Raw genomic sequence first — 23,800 nt, 5'->3', positions numbered from 1 at the left:
CCTATTGTATCTTGGAAGTAACTAACTTGTTTTTTTTAATTTTTTTTTATTTTTTATTTTACATACTCATAGGTTGTAGGGACTTGCCTTGTCTCAGATGAGACTTTGGACTGTGGACTTTTGAGTTAATGCTGAAATGAGTTAAGACTTGGGGGCTATTGAGAAGGGGTAGTTGTATTTTGCAATGTGAGAAGAACATGATATTTAGGAGAGGCTAGGGGAAGAATGATATGGTTTGGATTTGTGTGCCTGCTCAAATCTAATGTCAAATTGGAGGAGGGGCCTGGTGGGACGTGACTGAATCATGGGAGCGGATTTCCCCTTTGCTGTTCTTGTGACAGTGAAAGAGTTCTCATGAGATTTGATGGCTTAAAAGAGTGTGGCACTTCCCCCTTTGCTCTCTCTCTCTCCTTTTGCCATGTGAAGAAGGTGCTTGCTACCCCTTAACCTTCTGCCATGATTGTAAGTTTCCTGAGGCCTCCTGGTCATGATTCCTGTTAAGCTGCAGAACTGTGAGTCAGTTAAACCTCTTTTCTTCATAAAGTATCCAGTCTCAGGTAGTTTTTATAGCAATGTGATGACAGACTAATACACTGCAGGAATCTCTGACCTTATCCCTGAGAATTTATAATCTTAACATGGTGAAAGGCCAAAATAATTACTCTATGTGACACTGAAAACTACCTTTTTAGCAAGCCAATTTCATCTGGATCTAACCTCTGTTTTCTTACGGTTTTTATTGTCATACCCAAACCATCATGTTACACAGTCTCTAGGAAATGTGCAGTGACTAGGCAGCACACACGGGTATGCACATTGCAGCTCTGTGTCCACACTCAGTACGGAGCACAGTGGATGCACACTGTGAAATGATCCAGAGGAGCCTAAAATACTAAACTACCTGCCAGTTACCAGTGGTCTGTCTATGTGGTCAAAAAACAAGTGCTGTAAAAGCAAACCAAGTTCTAATAGAAGGTACATGCTAAGGGTGTGACCTGGATGCCCTTGGTGGGCATCTCAGGACCCTCGTTCAAACATCCATATTAATTATGTCATCTTAGTTGATTTTTGAGGTAACACATAATCTATCATTTAAGGTAGTGCCTGGCATTTAGTATGGTTGATCAAATACTAATTCATACGCTTCAAGAGCCGAGATCGCACCACTGCACTCCAGCCTGGGTGACAGAGTGAGACTCCATCTCAAAAAAAAAGAAAAACAGAAAAAAAAAAAAAAGAATTTATCTCTTATTGGACTTTGGACATAGACATTATATGTGCATTTAATCTCACTCTAATATACCTATTTTTTCTTATATCAATACTGTAATAACTCAACTTTCACTAATGATATTAGGTTTTTCAGTTTTCTCAATTACAGTATTGGTTGGGTTTATTTAACCTCATACTTCAAAGTAGAATCATGATATATTTCTTTCAAAAAAATCTCAAGTCCTGCAATAGTTGATGAATAGCTGTTTTGGGGGGCAGACAGGGGAGTGTTTAAAATATCTTAATCAAATAGGAATAAGGTTTGTCCTGTGTTTGAGATAGCAGAAACAATTTGAAGCTGTGGTAGTTATCATGACGAAGACTGGGAATTCAGTCTCCTGTAAGGCAGCTCGTAATTAAAACGAACATAGGGAATGCATAGTATTTAAGGTAAGAGCTGTTCAAATACGTGGTCTCTGAGGTAGAGTTGGCAAATGAGGTGAGAAGCAGACTCTAAAATCTTGCTTTAAGCAGCATTTTCTCGCTTATTAATCTGACAGCTTTTTCTGCTGCTCTCAAGCTAACTACAGCAGTTCTAATCACAGAGAGAGCATGTCAAATTGCTCTGAACTCAAGCCCATCAAAAGTGGAATGCCTTCAGGATTTAAAGAACCTTGAGGGGTCAAAGCTCTTACTCCCTATTTACTATGTCGTATGCCATCAACTTTGGTGAATATAGACAAGGAATTAAAATACTCATATGCCTGTCTTCTGTTTTGCATTATCTATTTTACCTATTTTATAAAGTTGTACAAAATTGTGTCTCCTTTCACTGGAGATTTTCTCTTATTGTTTAAGTGCTGCAAATTTTGATACTGTCATGAATAGAATATGCTGTGTTTAAATGCGCCGTTATAGGAAAACAAGCACTAATCATACCCCTACTTGAATCTTCAATTTGTTTATTTTCCAAATTATTTTTCCCATGAATATTTTCCTATCCAATGAGTCCTAAAGTGACACAGAGGATACAAGCAGTACTTGCATTGCACTATACACTGTTTAATTGAAACAGATGTATATCAGAACCCTATCATCACTTTGCACAGTTCATGGTAAACGAACACAAGAAATATCTCTGAAATCTAGGTCTATGATTCTTTTATTGCATTCATATTATGAAAATAGTGTTGGGTGTCACATATATTTTAATCTATTACTTTTTATTTACTTGTTTTAATGATTCTCATTAAATCTCTCACTCTTTGATCTGTCACCTTTCAATAGCATCTCTTTCTCCTCTGTCTCCTCATCAATTGTCAACAGCTGAGCTGAGCTGGAGACAGTTGAGCTGCCAGATGTACAGTGTTTAATTAAGAGAAGTAAAAATGAAAGTAATAGTCAAGCCTTTAATCACTTAATTGTGATTGTATAAGGGAACAATGAAACAAGAGAAAGCATCAGCTCTCTTAGTGTTCCAGTTTCCCCCCATGGAACAGCAGCAGGCGGGCATTGCTAGTGGATTAGGGCAGATGTGGGGGGCTTTTCAGTGCACAGAGAGCCTCAGACAGAAGGCTCTGCTCTTCTATTGACTTGAAGGTGGTGTCAAGGGAAAAGAGAGAGGAAGGGCTTAAGCCTGAAAAAGTACTGAGTACTGAGTCAAAGAGAGGAAAAGCATTTCCAAGGTCCCCACTAAGGAGAAGTCTTGGCAGAAACACTTTAGAGAATACCTTAGTTCATTTGGACTGCCATAACAAAATACCATAGACTGGGTAGATTATAAACAACAGAAATTTATTACTCACAGTTCTGGAGGCTGGAAAGTCCAAGATCAAGGCACCAAAAGATGTAGTGTCTGCTGAGGCCTCGCTTTCTGTTTCATAGCTGACATCTTTTCACCAGGTCCTCACACAGCAGAAGGGATGAGACAGCTCTCTAGTCTCTCTTTCATAAGGTCGCTAATTCCATTCATGAGCGCTCCACCCTCATGACCCAATGGTACATAAATGTTATGTCCATAACATAGGCTGACAATTGATTCTAGACTTTGACCTTAATCATTTTTCTGTGGCCTTCATCATAATTTAATGCCTGTGGGAAAAATGTAAAGTTAAATAATGTTATTAATGTAATTAATAATGTATAATTGTGGGTATATGTGTATACACACACCCCAATTTTTACTCTCCACTTAAATGACACATCTTACTAACACTAGCATGGGCTAGATTTAAAAAAATAGATGTCTTTTGACAATTCGGAGTTTAGCCAACATTCAGTATGGGAGCCTTCCTAGCCTTCCTTCTGTTGTCATAGAATGGGGCTATGGTTCCATTACTTTATTTTGAACCACACACTACTGTTTTTTAAAAAACAGAAAGTAACCCAATCAATGCCAGTTTTCAATACCAATGGTAGTCACTGAATAAAGTGGGTAAAGGAGGCAAAGAGATTTGACACAAGTTTAATTATTCCTGTGGTATGGCTTCATAATTGTATTGGATGTTATAGTAAACAAAACTCATAAAGATCACTTTATCAACCACCATGGTAAGTGTTATTCACCAAAATACAATAAGTAGTTCTAGTTATGCAAATAGGTACTTGTAGCATGAAAGAAAGGTCCCAGTGACATCATCACTCATGGATTTTAAACAGGTGTTTTATTTCAAACAATTTAGATGGAAGTGAAAGTGATATGCCCTAGAAAAATTGTTAAATGATTCAAAAAGTGACCTTATTCGTAACAAAGATGCTGAAACCGAATATATATGTGTATATAAACATACATATCTAAATTGAATTATCTTTTTTCATAAAATGTAACTTAAAAAGTTTTATTTCTAAAAATAAAATATAGTGTCATATGTAGTATGTCATTTTAAGTGTGTATTCTTAAATTTAAAAATTAAAGGCAAGTCACAATTCAACTATACATATTATATAAATGTTATATATTAAAAGTGATAAAAATATGGGAGATTTTCTTTTATTCAGAGTTGTCTCATGTATTTCATGGTGATTGAAAAAAAAAAACTTCAGCCATATTAAATTTAAAAGAGTTTCATTGAGCAATGAACAATTCATAAATTTGGCAGCCTCCCAAACCAGAGTATGCTCAGAGATGCCAGCATAGCCACATGGTAAAAGAAGATTTATGAACAGAAAAAGGAAAGTGATGTATAGAAAATGCAAGTGAGGTACAGAAAAAGCCAGATTGGTTACAGGTTGGTATTTGCCTGATTTGAACATGGTTCGAACAGTTGGTTACATTTGATTAAACAAAACTCGGGGCTTGGTACAAGTGTGGGCTACAGTCTGTTTACACATCTACTTGTTATATTTCAGGATGTACAGAGAAACCTTTAGTCCAAACTTCAAATATGAGAGGAGGCAGCTTTAGGCTAAACTTGATTTAACAATGTTATATATCATGTTACCATTTCTGTATAGAACACTATACTTTGAGCCTGATTTGAAACCACTAAGCGAAATGACAAAGATCCCACTATGTTAAAGAAAACCTTAAAGCTCCATTTTATTAAAATAGATGCAATACGCTTATCAATTTTATTCTTAGAGGAAAGTGTTCAATCACAAAAGCAATGCCTATTTAGAACACGTTTTGAATTTGTTAAGAAAAGGCACCTTAGTTTGTACAAAGTGATACTAACTCATTTATTCATGTCCTTGTGTCTCTGGCACAAGAGATAAAACCTTGTTAGTGTTATTTATACAAGTTTTGAAATAAAGAAGAAAAAGGAATCCCTGTTGCTATATTTTTTTCTGCTTTCCTACTTTTGGCTGAGCCTCCTGTAAATAAATTACCTTATGTAATGCCTTATGCAAACAGATTTAAAGAGTTCTTTTTAACTTTTGATATTACAGGTAAGAACTTTTATAGGACATTTTGTTTTTAATCCCTTCCTGTATCTTCTTGCATGATTTTTCTCGGCACAGGATCTTCACTGATATCTATTGTCTGGCCAGGAGGTCCAGCAGAACCACTAGCTTCTTGGGAGGCTGATGTTATTGAAGCTGCTTTTCCAATTGCCAGCAAATGATATAAATTATAGGAGACTGGAAAGGTCACCTCTGGAACAGTCCTACTTAAATTAGCTCAAATGATCACTAACCTGCAGCTAGAGAGAGAATCTGAAGCCCAGGCCGCAGGAGTGGTCGTGCCAGCCGACAGCGGGCTGGTGCCTCGACCCCACGTTAGTTTTCATCTGGAAAACAAGATCAAAGCACAATTGTGGCTGAAACTCACTTAGATATACTTTTGAAATGTAAAGATTTTTTTTTCCTGATGTCTTGTTTCTTTAAAAGATATAACTATCTGTTTTTTGGTCACTTCAGTATGTCTATATTTTACATAAAATATATTTGGTTACATTAAATCTCTTATTTCAAAATAGGACTTAAATTTATTACATACATAATATGTATACATATATATTCATAAATGTAGAATGTAGTAGAAATATAAAGAGTCTGTATCACTCCATTGTAGTTTCCTTGAATATTATTTGCTAAAACACAAGTGTAAATGCAATGACTTTCCGTTTAATTTATAATACCTAGGACCATACAGAATCACTTTGAGTTTGTTTCTGAGTCAAGCTGCTTGGCTGTAAAGTCCAACTCTCCTTGGGCAAATTGCTTAACCTCTCAGTATCCACACTGACACAAATATAAAAAGAGCATAATAATACTTAGCTCAGAGGTACCTAACAGCCAGTACAGCCAACTGCCCTTGCTACTCTGTTTGATGTGGTCCTGTGAGCTTCCTGCTAGGCAGGATATCAACTCTTTAATTGCTAGAACATACTGAGGTACAGGGAAATGCACGGAAGAAGCTGGTATGGCCAGGGTAGAAGTGGAGTGTATAGTGGAACAAAAGTATTTCAAAAGTTTATTACCAGGTGTGAGCCGTATGGAGCATACTTGCAAAATATTGGCCTTGTTTGTGAGCATAAATTAAGTTAGTATGCAGTTAATATGCATTACACTTTAGATAGCACCAGGCATATAATTTTTCAGAAAACTCTTTTAGAACTATATGCTGAAAATGTTACAATATGAAGACTTAGAGGCCTGAAAGATACATTGGGAAATTAATGTGGGAGGTTTTGCTGTGTCTGAAGAAGCCCCTAGTGTTCCACAGGCATTTAAATTTTATCCAGTTGTTTAGAAGAGATTACAAGACTACAAATTCCTTCTAAAAAGATGGGTTGATGGAGACATGGCCATTAAATAACATTTCTAAAGAAGTTGCAAAAACTGAAATAAGATGTACATACACCAAACCCCAAAATAAATAATGTTGATTAAGTTTGTAATGATGTCTTTATTAGTAGTAAGTTCAGAGCAAGTCAGCAATTTGGTAGTTTATGAAATGCAATGGTTGTTGTCTTTATTCATGTTTAACAGAGAAAAGCAACAGTGTAATACAGAAAAGTCTTTGGACTTCTTTGCACTGCTCATCTGATTAGATTGGGCCACCTCATGCTAATCCACTTTTTGATTAATTTAAAGTCAACTGATTAGGGATATGAATTACATCTGCAACATCCCTTCACCTTTGCTATGCAATGTTGTTAAAGGGAGAATGGTTACCCCATCATATTCACAGATTTTGCTCTCCCCTCAGGGGAAGTAATTATACACAGTGAGTAGTACACCAGAGGGCAGGATTCTTGAGTCCATGTTAGAATCCTGCCCATCCCAAGAGTGTTTAGATAATCCAGAAATTAGTGACATATTATGAACATAATTGCTGAAAATTATTTATCATCCCTCCAAGTGGTATTATTCAATGACTATTTAGAGAAACGTACGTTTTTATGTAGAATGATATGTTCAAGTTATTTAACCTACACAAATATTTCATGCAAAATGTGACTTTTAAAATATTAATTAGAATTTTGGTTCTATAATCTTTGCTCTTATTTGACATAGCCATATTTTGTGGACTAAAGAAGTTCGTTGATAATAATTATAAAAGTAGACAATGAGAGAAATAAAAAGTGAATTATGTGTTCCAGAGAAACAGAGGATACTTGTCAAAATTTATTATACTTACAAGAAAATTGTCCATCTTTATAACAAACATTTTAAAAATCTGTTCAGAACATCTATCTGAACAATAAGGTTTGGGCCCTTTCTACAGCAAAATAGTCACAGAGAGCAAAAAAAATGCTTTTGGAAAACATAAGAAGAAAACATCTTTCTTTTTTTGCATTTGTTTGATGGAAAGTTTATTTCTGGTCTAAGGCAATGTTTAATTTAACCTTAATATATTTATATGAAAAATCTCCCACGTAATGTTGAAGCTTAAATTATTATGGATTACAACTATATGTTTTCAAAATGAACATTTAATAAAATAATTAAATGCCCTGTCATGTTTTCAAAAACTAAAGCTGAATTTCCAACAGTATTTCTATTTCCAAAGCTCAGCATTACTATATTCAAAATAAATTTTATTAACTGATATTTGATCCACATTTTACATCACTTTTTTGCTGTCATGGGACAACAGCATAAGACACAGCAGAAGCACTGTTCTTTGAAAACTGCAATGGTATGTTATTTGTATTGACTTAGATTTCTGTAACTATTGGGACATTTATGATTGCTGCTCTTATTGAAATTTTGCTCTGAATTTTTCCTTTTCAGAGACAAGAAACCTCAAGGTTTCCTCTAGGGCAGAAACAAAAACAATAGTCATATCTTCTTAGGAAAATATATGTAAAATTGCCTAGTTGCCTAGCCTACCGTATGCATAAACCTCATGTTTGTGAAATTGTGTTGATCAGATAGCATTAAGAGTTGGGCTGCTTTTGGATAAATATTGGTAAAACATATAAGGCTTTAAATAATTATTGTCTACTACTTTGTATTATACAGGAATATTAATACTACTAACATATGCAACATTTTAAATTAAAAATTTATAAAATGTTCAAATTCTCTAGAGTTGATTAGTCTAGGTTTTTTAACTCAAACCATGATGTACCATCATGGTGGCAAATTGGAAAGAATATTTTCTTCTCTACAGTCAGAGAGAATAGGTTTCAATTCAGGCTCTCTCATTAATTAGGTGAACCTAGGTCAATACATGTTTTAAACTCTATGAGTTTCAGATGTCTTACGTGATAAAATAAAGTTTTGATAATTAACTAACAGACAAATTAACCAAGTTAATCAGGTTTTGTTTTTTTTTGTACCATAAATGCGGTAACTACCTGGAACATTTTTCCTTTCTTACCTCATCTCATTTTTCTGACTAACTCCAATTAGTCATAATTCAGCTGTCAGTTTAGTTATCAACTCTTGTGGAAAACCTTCCACGGCATTACCTTCACCTCATCCCTTCTTAGACAGATTAGCTGCCTCTGCTCTTTGCCCTTCGATTAGTCTTTCCTATAATCATAGCCCTATCATTGCCTTTCTCTTCCTGTTCCATCTCTAGCTCCTAGAAGGCTGTCAGGCAATGAAGACATACACTTATGTAAATTGCAATTATATATTGTATTTAGTCCTAACAGTACGACCCAGTCCACTGATAATCTTAGTGAGTTTAAGTGATTTTTCTGGATTGTTTATTTGAATGTTAATCCCATGAAGCTGAAGCCTTTGTATATTTGTGTAATGTTAAATATACTTGATAAAAAGGTAGGTACACAATAATTATTTTTGAAAAATTAATTAACAATAAATAGCAACAATAGAGTACTTACAGAGTGCCCAGCATATAATTATTTACAAATATTAATGCCTTCAAACATTCCCCTACGTCTCACATATCAGAAGTCAAATTGTTTTTTGTAATTGACTTTGTACTTGAGCCATTGATACCTTGGATTTATAAACACCACATGTACAAAAAGGACTGACTAAAAATAAAATGCTCTATTTAACTGGTAACGTAAATAAATCACTGTCCCACCTTTAGATAGCATAGATCTTGACACAGATCTACGTGAGACAGAAATCGGAGAAGCTAAACGAGGGATCTAACTTGCAAGATGGATACAGATAAACATTCGCACACACACATTTTAGGAAGGAGATCTAAATTGCACAAAAGCACAGAAAAATTGTAATAAAGTTAAAATAATTACATAAATATAAATAACACATATAGGTAAAACCTTAAAAATATAATAACAGAAATGATACCACTGATTTTATGTTAGAGAAGACAATAAAATGGTTTTAAATGGATCTGTAGTGAAATTACATAAGCATACCATTTCTAAAGAAATACATAGTCAATGAAATAAATATTATATGATTGTGATTACTTGCATATCCCCTTTTGTGAAAAATAAAGCTATCTGATTTCAAAATTGAATTGCTAACGTACCTATAATTTTGTATGTGTTCATATTAGAAATTAACACAATAAAATTAATAACAACACATTCACAGATTCATTAAAGTACCTTTCAGAATGATGTTATTTGTACTTATTTTCAAGTTTTTTGTTTCATATGTAGTGTAAGCTCTGCATGTGGAAAACATTTTTAAGTGTAACTCATGGGAACAGTCTTATTCTAGGATCCTTTATGGGAAACTATTGTTAATATACATAACATGAGAATGGCCTAGTTTCCAGGAGTTTCTCAAAACTCCAGATAAATATACATTGGATCTTAGCCTAAAATCCTTGGCAACTTTTATTGCCCAGGGCTTACAGATACAGTTGCTTGGATGAATGAAATACTTTCAATAGTAATTATCGTGAATGGAACAAATAGTTCCATAAAGAGTTGGACACAATTTCTATTCTATTATAGAACAGAGTTTTAACTGAACCAAAAAATAAACAAACATCTTCAAAGGTTTATTATGTCGGTGCTAATATCGTCACTCTAAAATGGTTCCTCCATTTCAAATAATTGCTCTATTTTTATCTTAACTTGATTTTTCATATTCTGCACAAGAAAACATTTCTTGGTTTGGCAATCTGTTACCTGAATTTAAACATTATTTTTTTCCTCTTATCTTGACTTAAAAAGGAGAATAATGTTGAGGAAGAAAAATCTTAATACTCTTTACAGAGAACATGTCAAATATATTCTAAAACAATGGCAACTTTGAAGAAGGTATGATTTCTATAAGACAGAATGCTATGGTAGAATAATGATGTCCTCTCCAAAATTCATGTTGAAACCTAATTCCCAGTGCAACAATATTAAGTGATACGGCCAATAAGAGGTGATTATGTCTTTACAGCTATGCCCTCATGAATAGGATTAGCATTTTAATAAAAGGGCTGCAGGTAAAAGAGAGTGCTATCTTGTTCTTCCACCTTCTGCCATACAAAGGCACAGCAACAAAGCACCATATTGGAAGTTGAGAGCAGCCCTCACCAATGTCTGTACCGTGATCTTTGCCTTCCTAGCCTCCACAACTGTAAGAAACAATTTTTTATTATTTAGAAATTACCCAGTATGTGATATTTTCTTGTAGCAGGAAAAATAAACTAAAAAACATAGTCATGCATTGCTTAATGATGAGAGTACATGCATTGTTAGGTTATTCCATCATTGTGCAAACATCATAGAGTGCATTTACACCAACTAACATGGTATAGCCTACTACAAACCTAGATTTGTGTGGTATAACCTATTGCTTGTTATATTTAGATGATACAGCCCACTATCCACCTAGATTGTGTGGTGTAACCTATTGCTTATAGGCTACAAACTTGTACAGCATGTTATTGTACTCAATATAGTAAGCAACTATAACACAAATAACTAGGTGATAGGAATTTTTCAGTTCCATCATAATCTTATGAGTATATGCAGTCTGTATTTTACATAAATGTCATTTTGCTGTGTATGACTGTATTTAAATTTCTAGTCCAGTTATAAGACATAAATTAGGACATAAAAGAAGTTTGAATCCTAACTAATATGAAAACTGCAAAGTAAATTCACTTACAGTTTCTAATAAAAAGTGTGTAATTATGATACTATCTTTACATAAAATGCATATTATATAACTTATGTCCTCTATCTTTTTATAATCTTGTACTTTTTAATGATACAATTTTTGTAAACTATTTTAATGTATCTTTGCTTCTCAGTTCTGGGAGGAAGTCAGTGCACCACCAATTAGCTCACTGTAAAATTTTCAATTCATAGAAAATTGCAGGCAATGATCAAGAAAGTGTTCCGTTCCTCCAATTGTTTTGCTTGATCTCAAAGTTATTAACTGGGTCAAAGGTCTAAATGTAATTGGTTGTAATTTAGTGAATAGAATTATATATTTCTTTGCATCAAAGGTTATTATATTGATGTCAAAGATCACTAAACTCTATCCAGAATTAGTTTGATGTGAATCTAAAGAGGGATGCAGTCAAAGAACTTAGGCTAGAGAATAATATTCTGAAATAGGTCAAACCTCTGAAATTCCCTAGCTTTAAAGGAACAAGCTGTGCGCTGCAAAGACAGAAAAAAAAAAGCATTTTAAGTACTTTTTTTTTTTAACACTTAGAAGAGTAGTGAATGCTTGGTAAAGTATTGGCAGATGGTCTCATTACATAAAATGGCTATTAAGGAGTGTCATCACTGATAAAATGCAGTATGCTACCCACATTCAAAGTGGTGAATTACAGAAACACAATTCTGCATTATTGCTGTTCCAATGGTTGTGATGGTTTTACTATAAATTATGCCATTCCTGTGAAGTCATATCTTATATATGAATATTACACAACAGAAAGTTCTAAAGCAAACTCATATCCATTATAGGAAAGAAATACTAAAGCTTTATTCTTGGTTGGTGTACAATATTTCATACATAGAGACAGAATATACGTAGCATAGATGAAGAGTTTTTGGCACCTCCTCTAAATATGATGAAGAAAGGCAGCTCAACTTTAGAATTCAGGCCAAGACTCTCTCCTGTGCTTAAGGAGCCAATTGTTCATGGAGAAGCTTTCCTGTGCCCAGTGGTGTGGAACTGCGTTTTGTAGATATGTTCTAGGAAAAAGTTTTTTATGCTTAAATGACCTCCTTTGCTGATTCAAGAACAAATTAAATTTCAACAAGCCATCTTTTGATTCCGCTTATTTGGATAAACTGAAAATCCAGGGGTACAGCTGTTAAAAAAATTGCTGAGCTAATATTTAGAATGATATTAGCTGAATTCCTCCTACAAGAGTGTAAGCAAGGATATTTCAGAGGCAGGAAGAAAAGATTTTTAGTCCTCCCTAGTGTAAGTTTGCTATCCATATGCCTAGATGCAGCCTGACACTTGGGCTCTAATTTATAAACTGGATGGCAGTTTGTGGACCAACATTATTGTTTGGTCCAGGGAGACATATGGAGCCGAGTGGCATTGGCCTAGCCAGGTGAAGTGAATATCAGTGTCTCATTAGACATTACTTAGAGTTATGTGAAAGAAATAAAGCCTTGGTCAAATAAAAGGGACACATTTTAAATAGTGTTTTTAAAATATGATTAAATGAAAGTTGTAGAGTGTGTGTGTGTTTGTGTGTGTGTACATATGTGCATGTTCAAGCCTCTTTTTAATGTTAGATATAGAACTAAATCTTTGAAACGCTGGCGTAGAGAATTCTAGAGAATAAACTTCTCTAATTTCTCTTCCTCATTAATATTCCATTGATGCTCTCTTAAAGTCATATATGTATCTCTTGAGGCAAGTTATCCAATCTTGATGTGATGCAGTTTCCTCAATTACAAAATAAGTTAGTACTCATAGAGTTGTTATTTGGATTCAATGTGTTAATATCTCCAAAGTGGCTGGCTCATAATAGGCATTATATTACCTTTTCTTAAAAAAAAAATAAAATTTCAAAAACTATAATAAAGAAGATCAGAAAGCTTTCTTCAGAAGATTTAGGAAAACTTGCTGATTTTTCTAGATAGTAATTGTTCTGAATTATGCCAGATTTAAATTTCAAGGAATGTTTTCCTTAGCATATCTGTAATAAGGTCAGATAGAAATGAGTTAATCTATTTTCGTTTAACAAATCTTCACAATATGGAAAATAAAAAGGATAAATATTTATAGCTGTGATCAGAAAATTAGCCTGACTTCTACAATGGCAAAATATAAGATTATCATGCAAAATTTAGATTCTACATATAAAATAGAATAATTTGACCCTTGGGAATAATTTATTCTGCCAGTGATATTAATAATAAAATTTAATTTTATACTGCTTTACTTTCATACGAAAAATATATCAACAATACTTAATGGTTGTTTGTTCCCCTATGGGAATGTAATATTATTAGTCCTTGCCAGAATTTGAGGTAATTGAATCATATTTAAAGTTTGAAGGCTAAGAACTAAAGGAAATATAACTTAAAACTCAATTGAGATGAATAACAAAAATAAAAAAGTCATTGAAATGCATGTGAACCTAAAACCAATGAATTTCACACCGCCCAAATTAGGTTATCTCTCAGGAAACTAACAATTGTTTGTGACATTTTAAAAACCAAATGTTGGAATGAAAAATCCTATAGTAAAAATATGTTTATATATTTAGCCATGTAAAAAGCTTTTAAATATTTTTCTAGTTATTTCTGAACAGACACAAAATTAAGACACATCTGCGAAACAGTATATGGAACTACCTAGAATTCAAATGATGCATTGACCATGTTTAAATTAATGTCAATGATGATTTATGTAGAAGTTTTATTGTTTTCCATTTAAAATTAATTATATGACATTTGTAATATGTACAGCCATTTTTCAAATGTATATGACTAAGGGATATAATACAAAAAAAACAAAACAAATAAAATCCTCAACATGTAAAAAAAAACCTCTTTCTTTCGAAAGGTAACGTGGCATTACACATCACAGATATTTATTGGCTGAAGTGGTTTCCCTTGCCGTGAACTACTTTTGCCTATCTCATGTGAACATCCGGGTGACAATGACATTTAAGTGAGAGTCCATGTGCATTCATTACTGCGTATGAAGAGAAAGGTTACATTTGGTTAAACTAACCTCTTTGTAGTCTCAGTAACAGAAGAACAACTTACACGTCAAAGAGTGAGCTACCCAGCTAGACTGAGAGCTTTTCAATAGACCCTTGAAAAAAAAGAAGAAAGAAGAGGTGATCTAATCCTCTACACCAGTGTGAACCCTAGACTGATCTTAACTATCAACAGTCTTTCTACAGGATAAAATAACTTTATCATTATCATATTTTAAAATATGGAGATCTGGTATTCTGTATAATGATTTACTCTCACATACCTGAAAACAAAATGGTGTTTCTTATTCGGCAGTAGCAAACCTTCACATTGAAAAGATGACTTGACATTCATGGTTGAAAATTCCCACTTCCTCTGTGACAGCTGGATAGCTGAGATCTCATAGTCATGCTACAATGATGGAGGAATGAACAAAACAAACCGAGATCAGAATTACTTCCCTGGTGAAGTACAGGATATAAGCCATTTTCTGCTTGAACTAGCTCTTTGCCCTCTATCCATGAATTCCTATTCATCAATGGAATATTATGAATCAGTATTTGTGTCTGTAAATTTTGTCTTTTACTTTTTTCTTCTCAAGTAGCCTCACACAAAGAAAGGGGTTTACAAATAAATAGTAGGGTTTCCTTAATTGAGATGCTCTAAGTGAAAGTAATTGAGACAAAATAAATTGGAAAAAAAATAGTTTACATGAAGCTGTGGGTTCAAGTGCCAAATCGTGAGTTATGTAACCTTGCTCTTTCATTTTCTTCTTCTGAAAAATGAAGTTAATACCATCTTCCTTACTTGCCTCATAGCATCTGGGTAAGGTAAAAGGTAAAAAGAGACGATACATAGGTGAAAGCGTTTGACAGAGTACAAGCCTATACACATTTCTCATGATCACCATGCCTTTGTCCCTTTTCTGCTTTTCTCTCTCTAATAACCATAGTTCTGTCAGATATATTACATAAACTCCTGAAGTGAATATATAAAAAGTGAATTGTATTTAGAACAACTGTAAGAACATAGGATTAAACAGAATTTCACCGACATCAAAACCTGGGCTCTTTTTCGTTTAAAGGCCATCTAAAGTCTAAAACAATAGCCTCATTATAGAGAAATTCTCAGGATGTATTGGGAACTTAATGGCAGGTACCATGTTTAAAGAAAATACAACTGTAATCCAAAAGTCTAGTATTGATTATTTTACTAGTTTACTTGGATCCCTGTGACATTAAGATAAATTTGGAAATTAAATGAATATAGACTTTAAAAATATTTTAATTGTTCTGATTTTGATTTTAAAGGAAATTCTACAAAATATTCTTTAGAGAGAACTAAGCTATTGCACAGCATGTGGTTTTAGGGGTGTGTTTTAATGGCTGTGTGTTTACGTGTATGTGTGTGTTTAAAAGTGACAACCTGTTTTGAATTATTGGCATGTGTGGGTATGGCTAGGATAAAAATGGTAAAGCAAAACAGGCTCTCTACACTATATGAATCTAAAACTTCCTTAATTTGTGGCCTCAATTTTTTCCCCTAGAATAGTTTGTTGAGATTTTACTACTCTTCCCAGAATAAACTTTAAATGGTAAGTACTAGTGAATTAACTGTAGAGTTGAAGAAGTGATAAATGTGAACAGAATTTCCCAAGTAGGATTGGCAGATTTAAAAATAATAAATAAGCAAACAAATAAATAATACAATTCAGGCTATCTACTAAATTCAAATTTCAGGTAAGAAACAAATATTTTTGCCCCATGTAATATTTGGGACATACATATACTAAAAACAAACTTATTTTTTCCCTGAGCTTTAATTTTCAAATATCGATATTTTATGCTGTGTAATAAATTACCACAACTTTAGCATCTTAAATCAATATCCATGTTTTGTTCGATCATTTCCTGTAAGTCCAACACGAGGGCATTTCTGATCAACATCTGGGTTCTCTGCTCAGGGTCTGCAATACTTGAAATGAAGGTATCAGCTGGGCTGTGTTCTTATCTGGAAGCCAGACTAGAGAAGGATCCATTTCTCCAGCCTGGTGAGTGAATTTATTTTGTTTGGTTGTATAGTTCACGGTAGCTTGCTTCTTAGAAGCCAGCTGTGGAAAGAAAGAGTTTCTGCTGCTTTGAGTCTCCGCCTTCAGGGAAGACCTAGTTTTTTGTTTGTTTGTTTGCTTTAAAGGCAAAGTATAATTTGGTTAGTCATACCTAGAATAGTTTCCCTTTGTATTAATTGAATGGCAATCAATTGGGGACCTTAATAACATCAACAAAATATCTCATTTTTACCATATAAGAAAGCATAATCGCTATGATGTCTCATCACCTTTACCATATTCTCTTGAGTAGAAGCATGTCACAGGATCAAGAGGATGGGCTTACACAAGGATGTGTCTCATTTTGGGTCACCTTAAAGGTTTCAACTACATTTATTTAGCAAGTCTATCCCAGAAAGTATGTGTGTTTTAATTATGTATGATTACCATAATTGGAGATATCAAATCTATACAAATTAGTTTTTAAGTGATATGTATACAGGATAACACAAGGGTCAAGAATTTTAGACAATGAATATTATATAGTTTCTAACAGCTGTTTCTATGTTCGTGTTTTCAAGATTTATCAAATTATGCCCAAGTTGGCAGAAATTGGAAAAAAATAGCATCACATTAATTTGAGAGTGATACAGTGTTAGAATTACAATCATCATCACTTGCTTATTAATTGTATAAACATATATTGAGTTTCACTATGTTAAAGAATTACGTTAAGTCCCAGCATTATAGAGGTGGGCAATATCCCACTGCTCCCCTCAAAGAATCTAAAGTTGAGAGAAAGAAAGATACATATATTCAGATAACCCTAAATTATTAAACAGAAAATAGCTGATTGAAGCCTTTTTCACCGCAATTTTAGTTTGTTAAAAAATGTCATGAGAGAGTTCAACTAGCAAATAAGTTTTAGACAAGTCAGGAAGTTGCATCCTATAATCATTTTTTGAAGATACGTAATGCACACATTAATATGTTGTGGGGGAGTTCAACTAGCAAATAAGTTTTAGACAAATCAGGGTGTCAGGAAGTTACATCCCATAATCATTCTTGAAGATGTGTAATACACACATTAATATGGAAAGTCTTTGACGTACTGTTTATAAGGTGCTTAACTTTGCATAACCTAGTATTTCACAATAATTTCAGACTGTCAAAAGACATTTTTATGTAACACATAGTAACATATAGAACCACAGTTCTACTAGATACCCTCTGAATATGCTGTAGTAAAAAGGTGATGTTGAGAGGGAAGAGGCTACTGGCATGTTAGGTTTAAAATGATGCATTACAGTAATTGAGCACCTATATTTGGATTCACCATCTAAACATTTGCCCAGCATCATATCTTGGAGTTTTTCTATATTCCTCCTTTTTACTTTGCCCGGCTCTTGTTACGTAGTCAGCTCTGTCCACTCCACTTCCTAAATAAGTCAATGGATCAAGTGTGTCTTATTGGCCATTGTAGCAGCCCTGAAGGACAAGCTTCTTGGAGACAGGTTGTCAGGAAAGGTCATTTCTGATAGGTTGTCAAAAATATTTTCAGTGACAGATATGTGTTGTCTCTGAAACTGTATGTGGATATCAGTGAAAGAAGAGGAGAGGTGTCATGTCAGCACAGGTATGTAAAAGCATTCTTTATTCTTTCATTTAACTGTCAATAATTTTACAGCTGTTTTGCAAACTCTCATAGCAGTGCACCTGTACAGAAAATGAATGAATTCCATTTACATATTTAAGCAATTAAAAGTGTTAAATCTCACTAATTGTGCATAATTACAATTCAGTAATTATATCAGACAAACCATACTTTACAATTTAAATGACGACTCTATAATTCATTACTATTCTGTGTGACTCAGCAAAAGATAGCATTTTTAGGATCCCATCTTTAAAAATATTTGATGTCAATATTTTTCTATGGGCTTGGTTGAAAACATAAACTTCTTATTTGCAATGCAGCTCAGGCAGGAGAATATTTGTGCACTGTTTCTTAGTCACTGGCTATGACCACTGCTTGCAGGACCTGTCATCATGCAGGCTTTTGCCTCTGCCCCAAGGACTTCATGACATTTTTGCACAAATCGAGCTTTCCCTATTCAGTAGCTTACACGCTACTATATATTTCTTTTTCTTTCCCTGCTGTCACTTCTCAGCCATCAGCAATGTCTCACACTGCTTCAACTTGCCAAATAATGGGGTTTTGTGATGTTTTCTCTGCCTGACTTGTTTGTGATCACCCTTCTTCAACTTATCAGTCAGTATGTGGTTTGACTTCCTGTCATTCACCCTCTTTTACAGACTAGCCCCATAAAGCTAAATTGTAATGCCTGTGACTCCATTGCCACTGGGCTCACAGTGTATCACAACCGAGGAATTGTCTGAGAATTTTATTTTAAGTAGAAAGTATGAGCTGGAAGCCAGAGGACAATATGCTATCTGTTAGTGTGCCAAAGATGTGCTCACTTTCCTCATTAGCCTCTCTAGCTCATCTCTGCCTGCATCATTTGATTGGCATTTTGCTAAACTAATACACTTTCATGATCAATTTTCGCTGAGAATTTTCAACTTCCTATCTTGGCTGAAATCGGATCTTCTTGATATGATCCAGGATTGCTTCAAGGCAGATTAACAATCTAAAGCATTCCTAACATTGTGCATTTTCTAATGGACATTGCTGGACAATGATGCTTGCAGAAACTTCTTAAGGAATTTGGCAATAACACAGGCTGCTGAAGAAAAAGAAGTTTATAAAGGACTACAATAATTTGAAACCAGTCAAAGAAATAGCAGGTTGTCCACTCATCAGTGGTGACTATGTTTCAAATTGATTCTGTGGTAACCTGAGAAAAAACAGATGTTTGTTTTAGAAAGTAAACTAGTGCTGATTGCCAAGGTCTGATTCCACAGGCAAAGCTGAGGATCTCATTATTTATTCCCAAATAATAAATAAAATGTGTTTATATGGAAATGTTAGATATCATGATATTAACCGTCTGGATCTATCTGTTCTGAGATTTGTGTAAAATCCTGTCAAACCACTCAGAATTTTGTATTGCTTTCATCTTTTTTCTTAATTTTATAAAAATATCTTTCTACTTTGTATGATTGGCAAAATAATAAGTACTTATCTTGAAAAGGGGGCAACAGAGAACACAAAATATAGAAAATAAATCACTCAAAATGTTATTTACACAAAGACAATTATTATTTATATTTTGCCATTTTATTCCAGATTTTCTATATCTATATCTGTGAGTAATATAGAGAAGTAGCTCCTGCTGTCATTATTTGCAGGAAGACCATATTCTTATTTTCCTGTGAGCTTTCCCAAGTATCTTACAGAAGCTATATGTGTTTTTTGTTTTGTTTTGTTTTGTTTTTTGAGAAAGGCTTTCACTGTCTATCACTAACTCAGAAAAGACCTACTAGCATTTCAAGGATAGATTCCTGTTGCTTTGTTAGAAGGTACATTTTTGAAGTCACAAAAACAGGAACCTAAATTCAGTGGTACTTGTGATTAGTTCCCTCACTGTGTTTTCTCCCTTTCTTGGCATGTGTATTTTAATCTTTGTTTGAAGAATGCTCATGCCACTAAATATCCATATTATCATTTAGAAAACTCATCTTGCTATTGTCTTGAGACCCTATAAAGAAACCTTTGCACAGTCAAAGTTGTTCATGCCAGCTTCCTATTTTGAAGCAAGTTGATCTCAATATAGCAAGTGGAAGTTTTAAGTTGTAATAAAAGACAAAAATGTCAACATGAGACATTCCTATCAGACAACATAAATAACTTAATCTCTAAAAATGACCTAAAGGCATACAAATGACCAGGTTTCATATCAATTTCTGTGTGTAAAGGTAGAATGTTTGTATTCCTACCATGATGAGATCATATATTGACAGCTGCAACTACCATTGCTGCTAGGATTAGGTCAATCGCATGGTTTCGCCTTTAGTGTGTTGAGGCGAATACAACTTGGTATGATGTGGCTTTACTGTTCGGACTTATCCTTTTTTGATATAACACATTTCCTTTTTCACAGTGTTTTTCTATAGCCATGGTTACCACTGCATCACTCTAAGAGATCTCTACATTAGTTTCATTCCTAAAAGGTATTCCGGAAATGCCAGAAACTCAATATTAACTAAGTTTACAAAAATAAATAATACAATGAACAAATAAATTTAGAAATAAACTCACATTCTGCAAAGTTGCACAGATGTCTTAACTGGAGACTTTAATATGCAAATGTGCTTTCTGAATTTCTATGATTTCCCAAACGTATTTGCCTATAAATGCTTTATTGGAGGCATCTTGTGGACTATTTGTTCCTTGGAATGTCTTTGTAAAATCCTGTCCTAGCTAATTAACTGTAGATCCTCTGGGTCCTCTTCTTAATCTAGTCAGTGATTATAATTTTCATTGAAAAACATAGGATCAGCTTAAGATCAGCTCCTTGTGGGCACCGAGAGTTGGTACCCGAATTCTGGTGGGTTTTTTTTTGTTTTTCTGTTTAAAGCAGAGAGTTTCCAGTGATGGTCAGTTTTTGCTTTGACCAACATGGAGTTAAATCCAGAATTCTGGTTTTTGTTTCCCTATTTACAGCAGAGAGTTTCTAGTGATGGTCGGTTTCTGCTTTGGCCAATAGGATGTCTATGATCTGGTACTAGGTAAGGTGGTTGTAATCTTATTCAGTGTTTGAGTTTACACCTATTTCCAACCATAGAAGCAAGTACCCTCTCAAAGGGACTATTTGTCCATGTCTAGGATAATCTCTTATTAATTTTCACTTGCTTTTGTTAGGCAATGGAAAGTTTTTGTTGAGTTCATTGTATAAGCATGTTATAAACTATGATGTAGTAACAACCCTACTCTTATCTACTTAACACTACAGAAGTTTTTTTGTGTGTGCATATTTAGTGAGGATCCCTATAATATTCCTGGGCTATATTGATTCATGTATCAAATCGATGATTCCAAATGGCTCTTGAACATGAGGCCTCCATGTTAATAGCTAACAGGAAGAGATAATCTAAAGAATGGTATAGGGGATGCACTCTGCCTATGCCAACAAAGTTCTTCAAATGACCTGCATGAAAACTAAGAATGTGTAAGTTTAGTTTAGAATCTATGCAGTAGATAAGGTGGTCCCCTGCTCTGCTCTTTTGTGATTAGCTGCTCATTCATAGTTTGATGAATCCCTTCTGATATCAGATCCTAAAAATAACTAATTTCTGACAGTAAAACTTACCAGTGTTTATCCTAATTTATTTTCTCACATTTGCAGACTGTATTTTTCACTTGACTATGTTCAATTTCTATTTTGTGAAATCTACTGAATCCATCGTGCCATAGTCCCCTGGGTATGAAGAATACAGAAAGGGCTTCTTTGGGAAAGGAGGGCCAATTCTACTTTCAGTTTCCAGCAGGGAAAATAGTCGTGATTAGAAGCACATATAAATAAATCTGCAAGGCACCATTAGACAGTGTGACTGAGTATATTCTACAGCATATACTGCTTTAGTCAACAGAGAGGCTTAGCTTACCACAAAATTAAGTGGAGAAGCAAGTTGGTCTTTGGTTCTCTTCCATACTCACTCTTGACTATCTTCCTCTGCCCACTCCCTATGATAAAATATCCTCATGAGGTGAGTTAGAAGCCAGGTTTAAAGCAACATTTAAGGCATTATTGCCAGAAGAGTTGCTTATGCTCCAATAAAGAAAGGGAAATGAAGAGTGAGTATAACTCTAAAACTAAAGAGTAGTTTCTCTTTCTGTCAAGGCTGATAGAGGTCAACTGACATCCGTTTTAATCCCTATTTGTTGTGCAGTTTGGAATTAGTCACACATACTTTAAGTTTCCCTTTCGTAAAAAAAGAATTTGGATCTTATTATCTTAAAATTCTCCTTAGTTCAAAAAAAAAGTAGTAACATTTCTTAGCATCTTTATTTTCAGTAAATCCAGTAGAAATTTCATTTTCTATTCAGTCTTTCTAATTTAATTGTCACTTAGTAGCATCTTCTGCTTAACAATAGTATTGATAAAATATGATGTGATGGAACAATGCAGAATAATAATACAGGCTTCAAAGTTAGAATTCTAGTTTAAATCCCAGGTTAACAGCTGGCTAGTGTGTATCACTTGGCATGTTATTTAACTCCTAAGTCTCAATTAATAACTTCTTAAATGATGGCTTAGTGAGGCAAATGCTTGTACAATCCTAGGTGTGTAATGTACACAAAACTACTATAATGAATGATGTTGTCTTTTCTGTTTTTAAAATGATATTTGGACACTTATCCTAATAACAATTGTCAAAATGTGAGGGCAATTTGTAGAGTAGATATTTGGACACTTTGAGGAGCCTATGACATTATGCCATTCAGGTGACATAATTTGTGGTTGAACATACTCTTCCCTTATGGGTAGAGTCCACAGAAAAAGCCGACAAGGTCATTGTGGAAATTCTGATATCAAATCCCAGGTTGCTGCACCTATGGGAAAAGACAGTTATTCTATGGCTCTCATGCTAACGATAGCAAACTCACTTTAATTGGTGATATGGTTTGGCTGTGTCCCCACCCAAAGTTCACCTTGAATTGCAGCTCCCATAATTCCCATGTGTTGTGGGAGGAACCCGGTGGGAGACAATTCAATCACGGAGGCGGTTTCGTCTATACCCTTCTCATGATAGTGAATAAGTCTCACGAGATCTCATGGTTTTATAAGGAGAAACTCCTTTCACTTGCTTCTCATTCTGTCTCTTGCCTGCTGCCATGTAAGACTTGCCTTCTGCCTTCTGCCATGATTGTGAGGCTTCCCCAGCCACCTGGAATTGAGTCCATTAAACCTCCTTTTCTTTGTAATTTATCCCATTTCATATATGTTTTTATCAGCAGTGTGAAATCAGACTGATAACATCAGACATTTATTTTTGGAGAAAATGTATATACCCATGGCATGTATAATATAAATACTTGCTAAAAGTTTTAAAAATTAGCTTCTTTTCTTGATGAAGAGAATTAAAACTCAGGAAAAAAAATTCCAATTATTATGCTAGGATGCTCATTGTCTAGCAGAAATAATTATGTTCAACTTTCAATTATTGTTAAGTATTTTCCCCTTAATATGGGACAACAGGAGATAATTATTTAGAGTGTGAAGCTTGTGATAACACCTGTCAACCTCCCAGAGCCAAGAACAATATGTTATAACGAAACTAAACATCTACAAAACCAAACTAATCACAGATATTTTTACTTTAATTCACAATTGGATCTTTCAGATATTCTAATAGCTATTTGGTTGAAAAGAAAAAAACATAGAGATATGTATGAAATACTGAGTAAAACAAATTTAAGCAGTTTTCTTAATTGTAAGGTTTTTTCAACATTTTAATATGCTGGTTCAAACTTTTAAGAGAACAGATATATTTATAATAAGTACATATTTGTAAGAGAACATATATGGTATATATAAAATAAACATATACTAAAAGGATATGATATGCATTGATAATACATATTAAATATATAAAC

At 34.0% G+C, this 23,800-nt stretch overlaps 1 long non-coding RNA gene across 1 annotated transcript in view; it reads right to left on the bottom strand.

Moving 5' to 3' along the window:
• Window positions 1-3,016: 3,016 nt before the first annotated feature.
• Window positions 3,017-23,800, bottom strand: part of LINC00351 (long intergenic non-protein coding RNA 351) — a 181,060-nt gene continuing 160,276 nt past the window's right edge. The window contains exons 2-4 of the long non-coding RNA NR_046989.1: window positions 14,476-14,603; window positions 5,349-5,441; window positions 3,017-3,303 (exon numbers count right to left, since the gene is read on the bottom strand). This is a non-coding gene — a long non-coding RNA (long intergenic non-protein coding RNA 351). The remainder of the gene's footprint in view (window positions 3,304-5,348; window positions 5,442-14,475; window positions 14,604-23,800) is intronic.

Source organism: Homo sapiens, chromosome 13 (genome assembly GCF_000001405.40).
Source record: "Homo sapiens chromosome 13, GRCh38.p14 Primary Assembly".
NCBI lineage: Eukaryota > Metazoa > Chordata > Mammalia > Primates > Hominidae > Homo > Homo sapiens.
This window is presented reverse-complemented; position numbering and strand designations above follow the sequence as displayed.